The sequence below is a fragment of the Homo sapiens genome, chromosome 2 (assembly GCF_000001405.40).
Source record: "Homo sapiens chromosome 2, GRCh38.p14 Primary Assembly".
Lineage (NCBI taxonomy): Eukaryota > Metazoa > Chordata > Mammalia > Primates > Hominidae > Homo > Homo sapiens.
Window position 1 is genome coordinate 195,524,621 of NC_000002.12, and position 18,616 is coordinate 195,543,236.

The 18,616-nt window shown below is 39.0% G+C and overlaps 1 long non-coding RNA gene across 4 annotated transcripts, besides 1 other annotated feature; it reads left to right on the forward strand.

Annotated features, from left to right (window-relative positions):
- The first annotated feature begins 8,343 nt into the window (after window positions 1–8,343).
- Window positions 8,344–15,662, forward strand: LINC01825 (long intergenic non-protein coding RNA 1825). 4 transcript variants are annotated; one of them, NR_186609.1, is made up of 3 exons: window positions 8,344–8,623; window positions 13,421–13,512; window positions 13,692–15,662. It is a non-coding gene; the product is annotated as a long intergenic non-protein coding RNA 1825 (long non-coding RNA). The 4 variants fall into 4 exon arrangements; NR_186608.1 differs by having other exon boundaries at window positions 13,697–15,662; NR_186607.1 differs by having other exon boundaries at window positions 13,421–15,662.
- Window positions 9,494–9,543: an enhancer, noted in NCBI's record as "active region_16887". NCBI's record gives its function as "activates an Ori minimal core promoter by ATAC-STARR-seq in GM12878 lymphoblastoid cells {active_cell/tissue: GM12878}" and the evidence as "EXISTENCE:reporter gene assay evidence [ECO:0000049][PMID:35858748]".
- Window positions 15,663–18,616: the final 2,954 nt, after the last annotated feature.

An 18,616-nucleotide genomic window follows, 5' to 3' on the forward strand; every position in this document is an offset into this window, starting at 1 on the left:
AGGAAATACAGAGAACGCCACAAAGATACTCCTCGAGAAGAGCAACTCCAAGACACATAATTAACAGATTCACCAAAGTTGAAATGAAGGAAAAAATGTTAAGGGCAGCCAGAGAGAAAGGTCGGGTTACCCACAAAGGGAAGCCCATCAGACTAACAGCAGATCTCTCGGCAGAAACTCTACAAGCCAGAAGAGAGTGGAGGCCAATATTGAACGTTCTTAAAGAAAAGAATTTTCAACCCAGAATTTCATATCCAGCCAAACTAAGCTTCATAAGTGAAGGAGAAATAAAATACTTTACAGACAAGCAAATGCTGAGAGATGTTGTCACCACCAGGCCTGCCCTAAAAGAGCTCCTGAAGGAAGCACTAAACATGGAAAGGAACAACCAGTACCAGCCGCTGCAAAATCATGCCAAAATGTAAAGACCATCGAGACTAGGAAGAAACTGCATCAACTAACGAGGAAAATAACCAGCTAACATCATAACAACAGGATCAAATTCACACATAACAATATTAATTTTAACTGTAAATGGACTAAATGCTCCAATTAAAAGACACAGACTGGCAAATTGGATAAAGAGTCAAGACCCATCAGTGTGCTGTATTCAGGAAACCCATCTCACGTGCAGACACACACATAGGCTCAAAATAAAAGGAGGAAGATCTACCAAGCAAATGGAAAACAAAAAAAGGCAGGGGTTGCAATCCTAGTCTCTGATAAAACAGACTTTAAACCAACAAAGATCAAAAGAGACAAAGAAGGCCATTACATAATGGTAAAGGGATCAATTCAACAAGAAGAGCTAACTGTCCTAAATATATATGCACCCAATACAGGAGGACCCAGATTCATAAAGCAAGTCCTGAGTGACCTACAAAGAGACTTAGATTCCCACACAATAATAATGGGAGACTTTAACACCCCACTGTCAACATTAGACAGATCAACGAGACAGAAAGTTCACAAGGATACCCAGGAATTGAACTCAGCTCTGCACCAAGTGGACCTAATAGACATCTACAGAACTCTCCACCCCAAATCAACAGAATATACATTCTTTTCAGCACCACACCACACCTATTCCAAAATTGACCACATACTTGGAAGCAAAGCTCTCCTCAGCAAATGTTAAAGAACAGAAATTATAACAAACTGTCTCTCAGACCACAGTGCAATCAAACTAGAACTTAGGATTAAGAAACTCACTCAAAACTGTTCAACTACATGGAAACTCAACAACCTGCTCCTGAATGACTACAGGGTACATAACAAAATGAAGCCAGAAATAAAGATGTTCTTTGAAACCAACAAGAACAAAGACACAACATACCAGAATCTCTGGGCCACATTCAAAGCAGTGTGTAGAGGGAAATTTATAGCACTAAATGCCCACAAGAGAAAGGAGGAAAGATCCAACATTGACACCCTAACATCACAATCAAAAGAACTAGAAAAGCAAGAGCAAACACCTTCAAAAGCTAGCAGAAGGCAAGAAATAACTAAAATCAGAGCAGAACTGAAGGAAATAGAGACAAAAAAAACACTTCAAAAAATTAATGAATCCAGGAGCTGGTTTTTTGAAAGGATCAAAAAAACTGATAGACCGCTAGCAAGACTAATAAAGAAGAGAGAAGAATCAAATAGACACAATAAAAAATGATAAAGGGGATATCACCACCGATCCCACAGAAATACAAACTACCATCAGAGAATACTACAAACACCTCTATGCAAATAAACTAGAAAATCTAGAAGAAATGGATAAATTCCTCAACACATACATCCTCCCAAGACTAAACGAGGAAAAAGTTGAATCTCTGAATAGACCAATAACAGGCTCTGAAATTGTGGCAATAATCAATAGCTTACCAACCAAAAAGAGTCCAGGACCAGATGGATTCACAGCCTAATTCCACCAGAGGTACAAGGAGGAACTGGTACCATTCCTTCTGAAACTATTCCAATCAATAGAAGAAGAAGGAATGCTCCCTAACTCATTTTATGAGGCCGGCATCATCCTGATACCAAAGCCGGGCAGAGACACAACCAAAAAAGAGAATTTTAGACCAATATCCTTGATGAACATTGATGCAAAAATCCTCAATAAAATACTGGCAAACCAAATCCAGCAGCACATCAAAAAGCTTATCCACCATGATCAAGTGGGCTTCATCCCTGGGATGCAAGGCTGGTTCAATATACGCAAATCAATAAATGTAATCCAGCATATAAACAGAACCAAAGACAAAAACCACATGATTATCTCAATAGATGCAGAAAAGGCCTTTGACAAAATTCAACAACCTTCATGCTAAAAACTCTCAATAAATTAGGTATTGATGTGATGTATCTAAAAATAATAAGAGCTATCTATGACAAACCCACAGCCAATATCATACTGAATGGGCAAAAACTGGAAGCATTCCCTTTGAAACCTGGCACAAGACAGGGATGCCCTTTCTCACCACTCCTATTCAACATAGTGTTGGAAATTCTGGCCACAGCAATTAGGCAGGAGAAGGAAATAAAGGGTATTCAACTAGGAAAAGAGGAAGTCAAATTGTCCCTGTTTGCAGATGACATGATTGTATGTCTAGAAAACCCCATTGTCTCAGCCCAAAATCTCCTTAAGCTGATAAGCAACTTCAGCAAAGTCTCAGGATACAAAATCAATGTACAAAAATCACAAGCATTCTTATACACCAATAACAGACAGAGAGCCAAATCATGAGTGAACTCCCATTCACAATTGCTTCAAAGAGAATAAAATACCTAGGAATCCAACTTACAAGGGATGTGAAGGACCTCTTCAAGGAGAACTACAAACCACTGCTCAATGAAATAAAAGAGGATACAAACAAATGGAAGAACATTCCCTGCTCATGGGTAGGAAGAATCAATATCGTGAAAATGGCCATACTGCCCAAGGTAATTTATAGATTCAATGCCATCCCCATCAAGCTACCAATGACGTTCTTCACAGAATTGGAAAAAACTACTTTAAAGTTCATATGGAACCAAAAAAGAGCCCGCATCTCCAAGTCAATCCTAAGCCAAAAGAACAAAGCTGGAGGCATCACACTACCTGACTTCAAACTATACTACAAGGCTACAGTAACCAAAACAGCATGGGACTGGTACATAACGCCGCATATCTACAACTATCTGATCTTTGACAAACCTGAGAAAAACAAGCAATGGGCAAAGGATTCCCTATTTAATAAATGGTGCTGGGACAACTGGCTAGCCATATGTAGAAAGCTGTAACTGGATCCCTTCCTTACACCTTATACAAAAATTAATTCAAGACGTATTAAAGACTTACATGTTAGACCTAAAACCATAAAAACCCTAGAAGAAAACCTAGGCAATACCATTCAGGACATAGGCATGGGCAAGGACTTCATGTCTAAAACACCAAAAGCAATGGCAACAAAAGCCAAAATTGACAAATGGGATCTAATTAAACTAAAGAGCTTCTGCACAGCAAAAGAAACTACCATCAGAGTGAACAGGCAACCTACAAAATGGGAGAAAATTTTTGCAACCTACTCATCTGACAAAGGGCTAATATCCAGAATCTACAATGAACTCAAACAAATTTACAAGAAAAAAACAAACAACCCCATCAAAAAGTGGGCAAAGGATATGAACAGACACTTCTCAAAAGAAGACATTTATGCAGCCAAAAGACACATGAAAAAATGCTCATCATCACTGGCCATCAGAGAAATGCAAATCAAAACCACAATGAGATACCATCTCACACCAGTTAGAATGGCAATCATTAAAAAGTCAGGAAACAACAGGTGCTGGAGAGGATGTGCAGAAATAGGAACACTTTTACACTGTTGGTGGGACTGTAAACTAGTTCAACCATTGTGGAAGTCAGTGTGGCGATTCCTCAGGGATCTAGAACTAGAAATACCACTTGACCCAGCCATCCCATTACTGGGTATACACCCAAAGGACTATAAATCATGCTGCTATAAAAACACATGCACACATATGTTTATTGCAGCACTATTCACAATAGCAAAGACTTGGAAGCAACCCAAATGTCCGACAATGATAGACCGGATTAAGAAAATGTGGCACATATACTCCATGGAATACTATGCAGCCATAAAAAATGATGAGTTGATGTCCTTTGTAGGGACATGGATGAAATTGGAAATCATCATTCTCAGTAAACTATCGCAATGACAAAAAACCAAACACCGCATGTTCTCACTCATAGATGGGAATTGAACAATGAGAACACATGGACACAGGAAGGGGAACATCACACTCTGAGGACTGTTGCGGGGTGGGGGGAGGGGGGAGGGATAGCATTAGGAGATATACCTAATGCTAAATGACGAGTTAATGGGTGCAGCACACCAGCATGCCACATGTATACATATGTAACTAACCTGCACATTGTACACATGTACCCTAAAACTTGAAGTATAATAATAATAAAAAAAAATAAAGTAAAACTCACATATCTAACTTTTCATTTTTCAAAGAACGAATTATTATTATTATTATTCTGCTTCCATATCTCTAGAAATCATATTCTTTAAAACTACACTTCCAAGCCGTGTTTCTAGCCTCACAATATATAGATTGTATAAAGGGTTCACACTGCAGGCTGATACTCTCACTATCACCCTTTACTGTCTTGAAATTCACACTCCTTACCTATGATAAATGCATCTTCATGCAGGTATACATTTTCACATATGCTCATGAATGACAAACACAAATGTGGTAGAGAACTAAAAACCAGGGCCAGGTGTGGTGGCTCACGCCTGTAATCCCAGCACTTTGAGAGGCCGAGGCGGGTGGATCACAAAGTCAGGAGTTCAAGACCAGCCTGGCCAAGATAGTGAAACCCCATCTCTATTAAAATACAAAAAATTAGCCAGGCGTGGTGGCGGGTGCCTGTAATTCCAGCTACTTGGGAGGCTGAGGCAGAGAATTGCTTGAACCCAGGAGGCAGAGGTTGCAGTGAGCCGAGACCGTGCCACTGCACTCCAGCCTGGGTGACAGAGTGAGATTCCGTCTCTAAATAAATAAATACCAAAGTGGAGTTCCCAACATACAAATTCATCAATTATCTATTTTGTTCATATTGTTAACAAAAGAATTGCTAGTTTAATAATGCCTGTTATTTGTTCATTAAGTCTGTCTTGTTTAGGTAAATTTGTTAGAAATATTTGCAATAGTGAACTGATGGGAATGTTGAACAACAGATCCAAAGGAGCTCCAGGAGTCACCAGGATACACCCTCCCTTGAATGAATTTGTTCAAATTAATTTTAGTCTTGTCTGTAATCTACTCAGGTTTCATGTTAATGGAACAAGCATCTGATTAATTTAACTGCAATCATATGCCCCACCTCACCCCATTTTTCAAAATGGAGAGAGGCTATTCCTTGAAAAAAGAAATTTGGCAATACCAAAAGTTGGAATGGATGTTAGGCAGCTGAAAACAAGGAACGTCCACCCTGGTCCAGCCCTTTGGCTTCCTGATATCCTCATACATCATCCTTCTTTACATTATAGATCCAAAATGTCCCTATCCAACATTTTGTAAGTATTGCCAATAAAATTGACAAAGGACTCAACCTCTCTCCAAAGAAAGAAAACCCAAAGTTGGTCAGTTTCTGGTGAAGTTGCCAAAAGTGGCACGTGACTTACTCTTGACCAGTCATTTAAACCATATTTCCCTAGAAACCATGGGTGGTTCAAGGAAAGGCGCAGGACCCAAGGTAGACCAATCATAGCCAGTGGGACTTCCCTTATTCCCCCACGGAAGGCTTGAAATACTGCCAACAACTTAATCCTCTTCTTTATTTCTTAAGAAAGTTTGAAGTAAGATTTTCCCTTCTTCCAAACAGAGAGTACTAACCGCCCTTCCCTTGGCTTTCGTCAATGAGGAAAAGATTACACTGCTATTACCAAAATAACAGTGAAAGGCATACTAGGAAGCTAAAAGTCAACCAGTGACCATTGTATCCCCTGTTCAAATATATTTTAACAGTTTTATTTGGGTACCATTTACATATTATAAAATGTATCCATTTTCTGTATACAGTTCAATGAATTTTAATAAATGTGTACACTTGTGCATCTACCACCACAGTTCAGTTTTACAACACTTCTGTCACCACAGAAAGTTTCTCTGTGCCCATCTGCCATCAGTCCCAACTACAATACCCATACCTACATAACTATTGATCTGCTTTTCTGGGCAATAGTTTTGCTTTCTGTAGAAATTTCATATAAATGGAATCTTAACACATGTAGTTCTTGTGCTTGGCTCCTTTCACTTTGCATAATGTTTTTGAGATTCATCCATGTTGCTGCATGTATTAATAATTTATTCCTTTTTATTGCTCAGTAGAATTCAGCAAAATGGATATATCACATTTTGTTTATCCATTCATGAATTAAGGGACATTTAGATTTTTTTAACACTTCTTATTTGGCTATTTTGAATAATATAGCTATGAATCTTTACATACAAGAATTTGTGGACTTATATTTTCATTTCTTTTGGGTGGATTCTAGGAAACTATATTTTTGACTTTTAAGAAACTGCCAAATTGCCTTCCAGTTCACATTTTACATTCCCTCCAGCACTGAAGAAAGTTCAAGTTCCTCCACATCCTTCACAACACTTGATATTACGTCTTTTTGATTATTGCCTTTCTACTTGGTATGTAGTGCTATCTCACTGCATTTAAATTTGCATTTCCCAGTGATTAATGAGCATCTTTATTTGCCATTTTCATACCTTCTTCGATGATGTGTCTACTTAAATCTTTGCCCATTTTTGAACTGGGCCATTTGTTTTCTTATTTTTGTAAGAGTTCTCTATACATTCTGGATTTAAGTTTTTTATTGTATGTTATTTGCAAATATTTTCCCTGCAACCCCTAATCCTTGCCAGTCTTTTTGCCTGCTGAAAGGAATAGTAGGGAACACTGATAACAATGTTTATTGAGGCAGTGTGATACAAGATGTCTTAATGCAGTCTTTTTTTATCCAAAACAGACCTTTGAGGGAGCTACTCTTATCATTCCTGTATCACAAATGACAAAAGTACATTTTTAAGGAATTAAGTTGCTTGCTCAGGATCACATGGCAGGAGAAGTGAAGAGAATAGCACAGGTTTTTTCCCTAACCCACTCTTGTATCAATCGCTGGCCAGTCAAGATAGATTTCTTGCCAAGACTCTTGACTCCCCTAGAGGCCCAAATTTACCCAAGGAAAAAAATGCATATATAGCTATAGCCCTTTGATTTCTTTTGCACCCACTGGAAATAATAAAAGTTACTCAAGCAGTAAGCAACAAGCAGTCCCCCACGTCACTCTAATTCCTGCCAACTGTCCATTGTATGGATGCCAGAAGCCACTGAGCCATGGAAATTACAGTAATAGAAGAGTGGGAGGAAATCAAATTAGTCTTATGCTCCATGACAGCTAATACCAAAAACTTTACATTATAAAAAAATGTTAAAAGTCTACCCATAGAGCATTCAAACAGAGTTTAAGACAAAAAGGAGCAGAAGTGTAGAGGTAATTTCCCCCAGTTCACAGGACACTATTAGCACCTTGAGGGCTCCAATGAAGTATATAGAGAAAATGGTGGCCATGTGTTTTTAGGAGAGAATGTCCCACAAAAGTACTACCCATCGGGGAGCCCAAACAGAAGGAAAAAATGGCAGCCACTACATGGTAGCCAAACAGGCTTATTGATTAGTCTCTCTCTCTTTCTCTCTGTCTCTCTATCTCACACACACATACACACACACACACACACACACACACACAGAGTTCTGTAATTTTGCATGACATAGTGTATATTCAGTATTGCACAGAATGATTCAATGAAACTTACAAGACCAGAAATAAAAATATTAGTCTGGTCCTGCCTACACACTATCCCTTTTACCTTTTACTCCAAGTTATTTAACACTCTCTGGGTCTCACCTTTCTATTCTCTTAAAAGAAGCAATTGGACCAGATAATATCTTAAAACTTTCACAGCTCTAACCATCTCTAATGTTCAAAGAGCTACCCAGTTCACACTTTGCCAAAGAAATTGTAAATTGTGGTATTTCCTGTAAAAGAACTCTCCGATTCTAATCTTTAAAAAAAAAATTCTGAAGCCTATTTCATTCTCTGAAAACTCTAAATTAATGTTTAGGATATGTCTATCATTTTTAAAAAGAAAATGCCCTTCAGGCAAAAGAAAACTCCACGTCCTCATCTGTGGGCTGGCCTTCTTAAAGGCACAATGCATTCCTAACTTCTAACCTTGGAAGGGCACTTTTTTTTTTTCCTATCGTAAGAGCTCTCTGAAGTCTTGTTTGCAGAACTGTCTGCAAGGCTGCTTGTCACCTTCGAATATACTCCATCAACATGCTGCCACTTCATCTTGTTTAGGCTCTTCGACTGCTTTATAGAAGGACACTGAAGTCCACATCTATCTCCTTGAGACAGGCAAAGAAACAAATCCTTTATCCTGTCTCAAAAAGAGCTGACAAGCTTTTAGTAGTGTTTATCTTCACTGAAGGGTGATAACCTTGAAAATGAAAGTGAAAAGAGACTGATACAATTAGGTATGTAGTCTTCTCCATACTGTATTACAATTGGTTTTCTTTTATAGTTTAACATAGTATAACATTCTTTTATAGTTTTATATAAGTCGAAGTTTTCTGTTGTCCACACTGGTTTTTCTAAAACTAAATTTAAAGTTACAGTTTATTTACAAAATATCAGTGCATCATGTTGTGACTATTTTGCAAAAATGTAATTTTCCTCTTAAGCCAGAAGGGGTTAAAAATATTTCTTTGAAATGTTTTATCCTACCATTCTTCCCATATCATCTATGCCATTTTTTTCTCTCCCTTGACATTTGACTCCATGTTATGTCATATTCAGAGAGATTTTTCTAAAATAAATTTCCCAGATTACAGGCAAATCTTAGAATTCTAATTATTTACATCTTATAGAGTCAAGGACAGTAAAGGGTAGATTTGACATTTCATTAATAACTTGTGTATTCAAATTTCCATTTGTGTTAAATTGTGCCCACTCCCGAGGTTCCAACAAATATAGATATGCCTGGCAAGCTAGTAGCTTGGTTATCCACAGGTCATTTTGTGTGAACAACCATGAGTCCCTTAGAAAAGAATTCATCCTGCTGTGAGTTGGCTGAAAGCAAAAAATACAAAAAAGAAAAGAAAAGAAGAAAGGAAAATAGCTCATCCTATCAGAACAAGAAGTCAGACACAAAGATTTGGCCACTAGAGGAGAGTGGTGTCTCTGAGTCCAATGTCATGTCTGCTTTGTCCCCATGCCAGCTCCACAAGTTTTCATGTCTAAGTCACAGGGGGGAAAGAGTCCACGAGCAAAAAATCTAAGTGTAACTCAAAATAGAAGAGAGACATTCTTTCCCACTACGTGGCAGAGCAAGGCGTATCTGTGGTCTCTTGTGGGTGTCTGATTCAGCTACAAGAGATCACAGTGGTTCCTAACAAATGACTGGCAACAGGTTGCTGAAAGGGGCAGCAGTCAGCAGGTAAACTTGTACCCAGCATTCGCAAACCCCTCCCTGGCGACTCATCGACACACAGAAGGGTCACTCTCATGAGACTGAAATCCTGCAAAGGAAGAGGAAGCATCCTCTAAGGCACCACTGCTACTCTCCTCTCTCTGCTACAGCTACCTTTCCATTCTCCCATGCCTCTCTCCATGGGTGTGCTTAGCCAACAAATCCAGGATCTGTGGCAGTACTGAATCATCAAGTCCCAGGGGATAATAGCCAGAAAGGGCCTTGGAGGCCAGATTGACACTGCCCTATCCCATCTCTCTGGAGCTAGTTGGTGCTGGCAAGGCTCTGAGTAGCAACACAGTCTGTGAGTCAGCGTCCGCCCACAGCTGAAGGTTGTTGCTTGTTCTCAGTGGGAGCTGAGTGTGGACAAAATATCCCTGTGGGCTTAATCTGGCCTGCAGGCTGTATTTAGCCACCCCTGCTCTGGTCCTAAATTACTTCGCAGTGATACAAGAATTTCTAAAAGTTACACTGTAAGGTTTTGGCTTAGAACTTGATATTACCTCAAGTGTGTTATCCTAATAAAATACAGGCCATCTCATGCTTTTTATTCCATTTATACAGAGCCAATGATCTTATGCATGGAGGTCTTTCTTTGGCCTTGATTGTTTTTTTATCTTTCCATCTTCCCACCTCCACAAAATCTTTATTAAGTCTTGAAGATATGCCAGGGAGTAGCTCTGAACAATGTAAATTATAACTTTCCCTAAAATGGCACAAGCTAAAACATAAAGATATTAAGACTCCATAACAAGGTTTTAAGATGCTTAGAACTGTACCACTGGGCTGGGCATAGAGTAACACATCAGTAGGTAATTTTTTAGTTGAATTTTGATGAATGAAATGGAATGAAGTATCTGTTTGTTTGTTTGTTAAGAGCAAGGCAGTGTCATATACTCAGAGAAGGAACTTGGAAGAAGCTTCTTTGAAGAAGTCATAGGTTCACATTCTACTTCCCTTACAAAACGTATAACCTTGGGAAAAAACATAAAATGGAGATAAATTATATCTCTGCAGAATGTTATAATGATAAATTAGGTAAGTATGTAAATCATCTGATATAATGTCTGCTTCAATTGGAATTGACCATCTTTTTTTAAAGTCATAAAGATTATCCTTATGGCTATATGCAACGAGGACTAAAAGGTCAGTGTCTGTCACTTCTCTAAGCAAATGTTGGGCAGATCAGATAAGGGATACATACTGTCAGGAGGTCTCTCCTGTTTAGAAAATGAATGTCAGTTATAATTTGAAAATGGAAGTTTTTGAAGGCATCTAAGCACTGGATGCTATGAAGAACTCCCAGAAATATCAAGAACTCCCAGAAATATCAATTTTCCACTTTCCTATCACAGAAAGCTCTAGGCAGTCCCTAGTTTAAACATGGCATATACCATTTGGCCTGGAACATCTGGGAGGTGAGACTACCCCCATGTTCCAGGGTCAGATTTGGCCCACTGGACAAGTCACCACCTCTATTCATCTGAGGCAATTCATTGTGGAGACAGCACTAGACCGACTCAGGGGTCTAAAACCATGAAATCTAGAATTGGTTCCATTCCCTTCCTAGCTGTATGGCCTGGGCAAGTTACTTAAGCTCCTTGAATCTCAGATTCCTCATTTATGCAATGAGAACAATATCTGTTCTTCCTGCACGATTAAGTTACTGATGGTTATTGTCATTTGCTCTACCCTAGCTCCACCTATATTGCTCGGGCTTAATGAGTGTTTCCTCAGCCTTGTGTCAGGTCTCGACTTGTATTACCTCATGTAGTTCTCATATCAACTTAATGAGGTAACTGTGATTCCCATTTTACAGATGAGAAAACTGAAACACTGAGGGGTTAATTAACTTACATACTTGGTTAGTGGCAGAGCAGGAATCTGACTTCAAAGCCCATGTGCCTAGCCATTATGCTAAGCTGTCTCTTAGAAACAGGTAGGTTTTGAGTGCCCAGCACTCATTTAACATGTATGTATTTAGTGCAAAGTTCTCGCCCTTGAGGACCTCATATCCAAAGTCATAGTGTAGAGATGTGCAGGGTCAAATTGATCTTTGTACCCACCCCGGAAGATCTGAAAGAACCCCAGGTCTTCAGCAAGTGGAGCAATTTCCTCTGTTAGGATGTAAGACCGAAAGAGACACACCCACAACCAGAGTCACCCACACTCCGATGGGGCTAGCGATAGTCAGTCTGGCCATGTGGTGCCACTTCCTCTCTGGTTTGTAAGCACTTTCTCTTCTATTTCTACTAACAAGGCATTTAAAGAAACAATTGTGTTCTTTAGTCAGAAGAAAAATTGCATTTTGTTTAGTCTGAAATAAATAAATTTAAAGCTACACTGCAGAAATAAAACCTTTAAAAATCACATAAATGATCATATATTTTTTCTGGGTTTTCTTACTAATATGCATAGCACTACAGTACTTAATTGTTTCCACAGTCAGAGCCTAGAATTTTAAAACTCCAAGATAGTTGTCTAATGCCATTTTACATAAAAAGATTAGATTGAAACTTTCGTCTCCTCATTTCCAGTCCTGCACTCTTTCCACTGAAAGACTGTCATTCTTTAACTATGCTAGTTTTAATTCCCTGCCTGAAGAATTGTGTCCTTTCTTCCCTTCTGCCAAATTCCTATTGATTGGCTGGTGATGAGTTAGTAAATGCTTGATGAGAATGCCATTTAGGCCTTCAGTGTCAAGATCAAGGAAGGCTTATAAAGAGATGCCTTTCATCTTTTCCTAAAGTCAGTGCCTTAGGTAATCACTTCATGTCCAGAGGCAAAGAGTCCCCCAGATGAGGTGCCATGACTCGGGGAACTCTGGCCTCAGCTTTGTCAGCTCATTAAGAATACTGTCTACCACAAAGTGACTTTTGAACACACTAAGTAGCAAGAATCAAATGGTTTCTGCAGCGACAGGGTCAGCTGGATCAGAGCCTCAGCCTTGAAATAAATCAGATATTGAAGAAGTAAACAACAAAAGAAGCTGAAGACAGACTGGATACAGACATGGTGCTTTTATCTGTCAGCCAGCAAGCCATCAGCTTTCTCTTTTGCAAAGAGACATGGTGTTTCTATAGTGCCATCTTATACGTTGGGTTACATGCCCATCTTACTTGCTTGTTTGTCAGCTCTTGGAGAGCAAGGACCCTATCATGCATATTTTTATTCCTTAGTTTGCAGCACATTCTCTTTTATATAACAGGTGTTTGATGTATGAAGAAATAAAAAAGAAAGGAAGGAAAACTCTATGTCCTGTATCCTGAAGAAATTTATAATAAGGCTTATTGCTTTTCTCCCAGACTGTATAAAATTCAATGATAGAAAACATGCAGAATTATCTTGTAGAAGAAATAGAGAAAATGGAGAACAAGAGAGGCTATTAAAGACAGGAATTAATTTATGGCAGGGTAGGGAGGCTCATGCCTGTAATTCCAACATTTCGGGGAGCCAAGGTTGGTGAACTGTTTGTGCTCAGGAGTTTCAGTCCAGCCTGAGCAACACGGCAAAACCCCATCTCTACAAAAAATACAAAAATTAGCCAGGCGTGGTGGCGCATGCCTGTAATCCCAGCTACTTGGAAGACTGAGGAGAAAGGATCGCGTGGGCCCGGGAGGTTGAGGCTGCAGTGAGCTGTGATGATAAATACAGAAATAAATAAAAAGAAGAAAGGAATTAACTTTTGTTTAGGGAATACTATGCCAAACACTGTAGCAGGCAATTTGTATATACCATCTTATCTAATCTTACCATAACACCATGAGTCAGATATTCATATTTCTCATTTTTATATCTATAGATAAAGAAACCAGGACTCAAAGATGAAGTAACTTGTTCAAAGTCTGGCAGCTACTAAGTGACAGAGCTGAAATTCAAGCCACCAACTACAAGGTTCATATTCTGTTCACTTCATCAGGCTGTTTACTGTAGGCAAAAATACTATTTTACAGCCATAATTAAACAACTTTCTAGCAAACGGCATTTCTATCATTCTAGCACCACTAGCATTATCGCCTCTTCTCCCATTGACATATTTTTTTAAGGCACTAACCTGGAATTTCTTCTTCCAGTACAGATGGACTAAGGGGGCGCAAACCCCCCTGGGTGAAACAACAAAAAGAAAAACAGATAAAATATATTAAACAACAGCTCTCAAGATACTAGCATCAGGCAACAAACCAAAGTGATCCCTGTGAGATAGTAAACAAATGAGGTGAACCCTATGACAGGTGCAACTTACTGCTTTGCAGAGTTTCCAGGCCATGACACTAAGAGGAGATATCCAAGCAGAGCCCAGTGAATGACCCAGATTGAGGAGACAGAGCTGAAAGTCCAAGAAGACCCAAGGCAGCTGGAATTTGCAAGACCGAGTACCAGAGAAAAGAGGGCTGAGCAGAGATAGAATTCCAGAGATTTGTAAAGGGTCTCCCTTAAGTATTTAGCAGAGTATTAATCATTGTAGGCATTTGAGGCAGTTACCTGTGGCCAGGAAAAAAACCACCCAAGAGGATTAAAGGAAACAGTGTTTTAGCACTCACACAAGGCCAGAAATAGCCTATTTTCCCATCCAGATTGACTTAACTTCGTAATTTGTGGGGCTTTGGGTAAAAAAGTCTACTCATTAGTTAGTCTTACCTCAGTAGTAGGGAATAAGTAGATGTAGACTAAACACTATACTGGTACCACCAAAAAAGCTTTAAAAACAGACTTAAAAGAAGTAAATGCTTTTCAAGTAATTTAACTGCATCCTAGAACAAAAGACATGCAATTGGAGTCCCTGAAAGGAGGATGTGAGAAAAAATATTACAGGAAATAATGACTAAAATTGTTTCAAATTTGATGAAAGGATAGACACAAGAAACTCAACAAAACTCAAAGCGTACAAGAAACATGAAGAAGCCAGGTGCAGTGGCTCATACTTGTAGTCCCAGCTGCTTGGGAGGCTGAGGCAGGAGGATCTCTTGAGCCCAGTAGATTGAATCTGCAGTGAGCTGTGAACGCACCACTGTACTCCAGCCTGGGAGACAGAGCAAGACCCTATCAAAAAAAAAAGGAAGAGACATGAAGAAAACTACACTAAGGCACACAATAATCAAACTGCTCAAAATCAGTGATAAAGTGAAAATCTTAAATGCAACCAGAAGGAAAAAGACATTATATACAGAGAAACAACGATAAGGATGACATTAGATTTAACTTCAGTAATAATGCAATCCAGAAAACAGTGGAACAACATTTTTAAAGTGCTGAAAGAAAAAAGCTAGAATTCTACTCTCAGTAAAAATGTCTTTATAAGAATTTTTTTCCTTTTTTTCTTTTTTCCTTGAGATGAAGTCTCACTCTGTTGCCCAGGCTGTTCTTGAACTCCTGAGCTCAAACAACTCTCTGCCTTGGACTCCTAAAGTGCTGGGTGGGATTACAGGCGTGAACCACCGTGCCTGGCCAGGACATTTTTGGACATACGAAGCTGAAAGAGTTCATCACCAGCAAATCCATACTACAAAAAATGTTAAAGAAATTCTTCAGGCAGAAGAAAAATACCCTATATGAAAATTTTAATCTGCACAAATAAATGAAGAGAACCAAAAATGGTAATACATGGCATGATTGTTAATTTTATGTGCCAACTTAGTGGCCATGAGGTGCCCAGATTAAACATTATTCCTGGATGTGTTTGTGAGGGTGTTTCTGAATGAGATTACATTTGAATCAGCGGACTCAGTAAAGTAGATTGCCCTCCCAGTGTGGATGGGCCTCATCCAATCTGTTAGGAGCCTAAATGGAATAAAGTGTGGCAGAAAGGAAAATTCACCCCTTTTGCTTCCTGCCTGTCTGGTTGAACTGAGACATCTCATCCCATCTTCCCTAGCACTCAGATTGGGATTTACAACACCAGGTCCCTTGGTTCTCAGGCCTTTGGACTTGGACTGAATTACACCACTGCTTTCCGCGGTCTCCCAACTCGTGGATGGCAGACTGTGGGACTTCTTAGCCTCCATAATCATCGGAGCCAATTTCTCATAATAAACATATTTACTATACCCTACTGGCTCTGTTTCTTTGGAGAACTCTGACCAATACACATGAGTAAATACATAAAGTATTTTTTCTTATTTACATCTATTAAAAGATAGTTGACTGTTTACCCAACAGTAGTAACAATGTGTTTGGGGGTTTATAATATATGTAAAGGTGAAATGCATAATACTAACAGCATAAATGCAGGCAAGGGAGAAAAGGAAGTCTACTGTTATAAATTTATTGTACTATACATGAAGTCCTATAATATCACTTGAAGTTAAACTGTAATAAGCTAAAGAAGTATAAGCCTGGCCAGACACAGTGGCTCACGCCTGTAATCCCAGCATTTTGGGAGGCCAAGGAGGGGATGATCGCTTAAGTCCAGAAGTTCAAGACCAGTCTGGGCAACATGGTGAGATCCCATCTCTACAATAAGTAAAAAAAGTTTACCAGGTGTGGTGGTGCATGTCTGTAGTCCCAGCTGCTGGGGAGGCTGAGGTGGGAGAATTCCCTGACCCCAGAAGTTTGAAGCTGTAGTGAGTCATAATCATACCATTCCACTCCATCCTGAGCAACAGAGTGAGACCCTGCCTCAATTAAAAAAAAAAGAGAGAGAGAGAAGTATACGCCCTACAAAGCTATAAAAAACAATAAAATAACAAAACAAGTTATAGGGAATTCATCAGCCAAAAAAAAAAGATAAAATGGTATCATACTTGCACACCAATGTTTATAATAGTTCTATTCACAATACCCAAAAGGTGGAAACAACCCAAATGTCCATCAACAGAAGAATGGATAAACCAAATATGGTATATATATATACAATGGAATATTATTCAGCCTTAAAAAGGACTGGAATTCTGATACATGCTATAACATGAATGAACTTTGTCAACACTATCCTAAGTAAAATAAGCCAGACAGAAGAGGACAAATATTTTATGATTCCACTTTTACGAGATACATAAAATAGACAAAATTATAGAGATGGAAAGTAGAATACAAGTGTACCAGGGCTTGGGAGGAGAAGGGCATGGGGATTTATTATTTAATGGATACAGAGTTTTTATTAGGGATGATGAAAAAGTTCTGGAAATTGATAGTAATAATAGTTACAAACATTGTCAATACACTTAATGCCACTAATTGCATATTTAAGAGTGGCTAAGATGGTAAAGTTTATGTTATGTATATTTTACTACAATAAAAAAATTTTAAAGCTATCACAAAAGATTCAATTAAAAGGCATTCATTTACGTCCTATGGATTTTGCCTTACTTACGGTTTCAACTCTCCTTCATTATGCTTTTAAACTGTTTATCTTTCAATTTATAGAAATGATTTTTTCCTTCTAACATCACATTCTGTGATGATGCTTATTTATCTATATTACAGCAAGGGTCACTGTGCTCCTTCCATCATTCAACTTCCATGCAAACTCAGCCAAGGCCAGGAGTGGTACTCCTAGATTACAAAACTTAGAGCTCAGTCCTTTTAAACCAGGTGCCCATGCTCTCCCAACAAGGTCTCCATTTTTCAAGAGCACTGAATTGTTACTTGAAGACCCAGAATAACAGTCCACCAGGAACCAGGCAGCTATTACTTTACCATCTTCCAAATAAGGTGTTTCTTTTTTTTTTTTTTTGGAGACACAGTCTCACTGTCTCCTAGGCTGGAGTACAGGGCTGTGATCTCTGCTCACTGCAACCTCTGCCTCCCAAGTTCAAGTGATTCTCCTGCCTCAGCTTCCCGAATAGCTGGGATTACAGGCACGTGCCACCACACCCAGCTAACTTTTGTATTTTTAGTAGAGACGTGGTTTCTCCATGTTGGCCAAGCTGGTCTCGAACTCCTGACCTCAAGTGATCCACCCGTCTCAGCCTCCCAAAGTACTAGAATTACAGGCGTGAGCCACCATGCTTGGCCCAAATAAGGTGTTTCTGATTACATCTCCTTATCCACAACATTGCCACCTGCCCTCTACATCTGTACCCAAGTGTGGCTAACCTTAGTGTTTCCAGTGAACCTGTTACCCACATTGCTCAGGGAGCTATCTTCAGTGATTCAGAGGTCAGTTACTTTCTTAAGAGAGACCAAAGCAATTTTCTGCCACTCTCTTGCTAGAGAAAAGAGAGGAAAACACTCACAGTCACTCATGCTCTAGGTCTACTTTGGAGAAGGGTAGCCTTCTATATTTGAAAATTATTTTCGGTCTTCCTTGATCATGAAAAGAAGAGGTATACAAACCCTTATTTTTCTACAACTGGCTATAATGCCTTAAGACTAAAAAATTTCTTTTAATTTTAAAAATAAAAACTGTCAGTGTTTCAAAAGCAGAAAGTACATCTGTAAAAATAAAAGAAAAAAAGACTGTTAGTGTTTCTGTTGGGGTGGTTGATTAGATCCATGGTTCATACCCATGCTGATCTCCATATCAAATGGTGGCTCCTCCACACCCCACTCTTCCCTTCCCATCACACTTTCTCATTTTTTGTAATGTAGACAGGCTGAGAATTTTCCAAATCCTTAAGCTCTGCCTCCTTTTTGCTTAACAATTTTATCTTCTCTTTATTTCTCTCTTCTTGCTAGCTGCTCCTTCAACATTCACTTGCAAGTTCTACCTTCCACAAAACGCTAGAACATGAACACAATTCAGCCAAGTTATTTGCCAATTTATAACACGGATAGTCTTTTCTCCATTGTACAATAACATGTTTTCCCATTCTGAGACCGTATAAGAATTGCCCTTAATGTCCATATTTCCACCAACACTCTGTACATGATTGATTGTTGTCTAATAAGATGAAAACTTTCTCTACAGCACTCCTCTTTTTTTGAGCTCTCACCAGATCACCTTTAAAATCTCTTCATAGCAATATTGGCTTTATCCAGCATGCACCTCAAAACTTTTCCAGCCTCCACCCATTACCCAACTTCAAAGCCACTTCCCCATTTCTAGGTAATTGTTACA